Raw genomic sequence first — 3,953 nt, 5'->3', positions numbered from 1 at the left:
TCTCGATAAAGAGGAGAGTGAAGGGACATCAAGAGCATGAGAGTCAGTGGAGATTCCATGAGGTTGAACAATGCACAGTAGTTCAGGATCACCCTAGTAGAAAGAATAAGCTGGAAAAATAGGATGTGGAGATACAGAATTGAGATTATGGAGGGGTTATAGTTTTTTTGTAATGGCAACAAAAAGTTAGCTGAAGAAGAAAAGAATACTTCTGATAAACTTCCTTGTAGATACTGCATGGGTAAGGAGGTAATTATAATGAGAATTACAAAATATTTAGAGCTGAACGACAATGAAATTACTCCACATTAGATCTTGTAAAGTAGCTAAAGAGAGAAAACTATAACCTTAAATACATGTTTAAGGTTAAAAAATTAGAAAAAGTGAAAATAAATGAGTTAATCTTTCAACTCAAGAAGTTGAAAACAGAGTAAGCCCAAAGTAAGTAGAAGGAATGAAATAAAATAAAGATAAAAGCAGAAATTAATGAACAGAAAACAGAATAGCAGTAGAAATAGTGTTAATACCAGGAGCTGATTCTTTGAAAAGATAGAAAATTCAATAAGCCTTTTTATTTTCCAACGTCCACCTTGACTGCAGTGTTCTAGGACTTCTCAAAGGCATCTTACATGCTAGTCTGGGGCCTGGGATGCAAACAAAAACAGATCAGAGGCAGTTATTTTGGCAACAATAGGGAGAGGGAAGAGTCTTCAAGGTCCCTTAAAGCAACATGTACAACAAATGAGCTGCATGCATAACCAGGGCATCTACTTTTTCCAGCTGCGCACACTGAGCCCCATCAGGGAGGGTAAAATGCAGTAAACCTTTGAAAAGCTGATCTAGAGAAAAACTATAGGTGTAAACAAATAGTATTAGGAAGAGAAATAGGGACAAAATTAAGATAAACATATTTAAAATATAAGATTATTTTGAGCAACTTTATGACAATAAGCTTGAAAACTTAGTTTAAGTGGACACTTCTGGGAAAATATAAAATATCACAATGACTTAGGAAGAAATGGCAAAACAAAGAAGTCCCATAACCTTTAAAGAAATTTAATCATACTTAACCACCACCTCCCCAACCTCCTGCCAAAAACACCAGGCCTAGAGTAATTTGGGGGATGAATTCTATCAAACTGTCAAGGAACAAGTATAATAATACTTGTCTTACATAAACTGTTTCAGAAAATAAAAAGAAGGAAACCAGAATCTACACTAGATTGTTTCGCCTCCAACTTGTTTAGTAACAACAAAAAGAGGCTAAGAACTGAGGCTAAGAAAAACCAAAATAAAGTCTGAATACTTCCTACAAACAGCACTAGAAAAAGACATCTGATTATACCTAGGTGGTATAGGTTTTAAGGACTGGACCTTTGACTTCGTGCTCATCCTTCTGTGTGGACCAGCTTTGATCTTTGATTCCAGTTATTTTAATTCCAGTTGTAATGATGGGTTTTGGACACTCTCAGTCTGTATTATGACCAACAGCATGTATCCGTAAGATAGCTAGGTCACTAATAGTCTGTGGCATGGAAAAAATTTTGTTTTGTTTTAATATGGTGCTAACTAAGCATATAGAGATTGACTCTGTAACTTTAACTCCAGTAACACACTGTTATCACCACCCAAACTGACCAGCCTAGTTAGTAACATCATATACAGTATCATACAAACTACGCAGAACCATGCCTGGGACACTCATCTGTTAGCTCTTACATGCCCTTTGTGCTCAAAGAGAACAATTTGTGGTTGTTGTATGCCAGTCAATTCAGTCATCATGGAGCTTAGTTGTTTACTGTATTGCATGCTAAGCAGTAGACTCTAGGAATCCAATAAATTTGATTCTCACATTGGTCCTGTTTGCCACAAACCTTGCCATGCCTCAAGAACCTCACAAGTTGTGTTTCTTAGAACAGTGCATATGTAGTTCTCATACTCTGCAACAGTGTTTGCCTCAGCATAATTGTGTTTATGTGGGATTGCATTGGCATTGCAATGTGAGAATGACAGAGTTGACAGGACCACTAACATCTGTACCCTGGGAATTGTTTCCCCCATCCCCATAGCTGGCTGAAGAAACTTTATTTCTGAGTTATTATGTAGGGACTGAAAGGTTTTCTTTTTCGTTTTGTTTTTTTTGTTTTTGTTTTTGTTTTTTACATATATGCACAGATTGTTTTTTACCTACAATGAGCAAAAATAATCTGGACAAAAAAATAATGCTCTCCCTGTTTTTTCTTTCAAATGTATACATATATTTGAAATCTTAGGCATAGGGAAAAGCTTTTATGTCATCTTCAGAGCTACTGCCATATTTTTTAGCTAGAACCAAATCTTAAATCTCTCCTGACAGAACCTTAATGAAGGGGACAAAGTGATCTCCAGTGGAAATGTGAAAGGCATAAAAAGGAAAAGTTAGATATCTGGAGGATTCAGATGACACAAAGAAAATAAGTTGAGGATAAAGGAAATGAGAGGGTAAACCTAGTAGTACAATGGCATCTTGCATCTTCAACTATTTTAAAGTATGTTTACCTGAGAACGTGAAGATAAACTGTATATAGATGGCACATAGACAACTAATAAATGAATAAACATTTACATTGCATATGTCAGAAGTATCTGCAAAGCAAAAAGGGTGCATGCCAGTTCATTGTTGACCAGAAAGAGTCTTTCATATACTCTTCCAGGATCTATGTTATTATTGAAAAAAAAAAAAAGAAGTTAGATGTTAAGTTTGGGAGTATTTTTAGTAAACCCAGATGAACAGAGCAGGCTTTATTTCTGGATCAACTGCAAATTCACAACTATGAAGACTAGTTGAAATATTTAAATTTCTAGATGAATCATGCATAGATCACTTTTCATAGGGCCTTTTCCTTAAAACTCTGCAGTTAACTAAAAGTGGGAAATAATTATTTTTCTTAACACCTGGTGGACCATTCAGCCTCATTTATAGGCTTTAAAGAAAACTAACAAAATATTTTTAAAAATCAAGTTGATGACAATTTAAAAACTTACATAGAATTTCTGAACCTTCTTTAAGTTATAGGTTACATTTTCAAGAAACTGATCGTTATCAAACTTGTGAGCTTAAATTTAAGTGTGTTGCTACCAGGCAGTAATACGTTTGGCCTGGCATACAGATTACAAGCACAACTTAACTATCACAGATATCTTTGAGAACTAAATGGATTTATTTATTTTAAAAGTTATTCTAAAATTAATTCTGTACCTTTCTCCTCCGTACCTTTCTCCTTAAGTTTTTGAAACACCTTTCTTGACATATAATTTCTGGACTACTGCACATATTTAAATTGTAATATCTGATGAATTTGAGGAAACTATCTCCCTAATTCTCCCTAACTCTTAACTGTACTAAATACTTATAGTCTTAACAAAAATTTCAGATAAATCATATGTTTTAAAGCTACTTATTCAGTGTTTAACTGACACTATATAGAGTCCTTTTGCTAATTTTAAGCTAATCAAAAGAGATATAATATACCCTGTTAGTGCTTCTGATCAGTTCAAGCATTTTTTTTTTCTCGTCAAGGTGCTATGAGCATTTGGCAGGGTAGTTCTTCACTATGTGGGTCTGTTTCCAGAATAGCAAGCATTCAGCATCCCTGAGCCTGGCATTTGAAATGCCAATAGCACCCTCCAATCATTGTGACAATCAGTGTCCCCACATATTTTCAAAAGCTCTTGTGGTAAGTGTTGCCCCTTCCCCTCCCCGTGACAAACCTGCCCCTTATACCTTTACTGATGTTTCTAGCCTGTGTGGCCTACAAAAAAAGTGTGAATGGGGAATTGTTCACATTAAAAAGAGATAGGTTTTCATTTCTGCTTTTTGTAAGCCATTGCTAAAGTTAAATTTAATTGCAAAATACTAAACTCTTGAACCAATTCTAGGACAGGTTTGCAGAATGATTTTCTTAAAGGACCTT

At 35.0% G+C, this 3,953-nt stretch overlaps 1 non-coding gene across 1 annotated transcript; it reads right to left on the bottom strand.

Moving 5' to 3' along the window:
* Positions 1 to 702: 702 nt before the first annotated feature.
* On the bottom strand, positions 703 to 840 carry LOC124900507 (small nucleolar RNA SNORA70). The gene has a single exon (XR_007068485.1). It is a non-coding gene; the product is annotated as a small nucleolar RNA SNORA70 (small nucleolar RNA).
* Positions 841 to 3,953: the final 3,113 nt, after the last annotated feature.

This window comes from Homo sapiens, chromosome Y, assembly GCF_000001405.40.
Source record: "Homo sapiens chromosome Y, GRCh38.p14 Primary Assembly".
Lineage (NCBI taxonomy): Eukaryota > Metazoa > Chordata > Mammalia > Primates > Hominidae > Homo > Homo sapiens.
The sequence above is the reverse complement of the archived record's forward strand: the minus strand, read 5'-3'. Positions and strand labels throughout refer to the sequence as shown.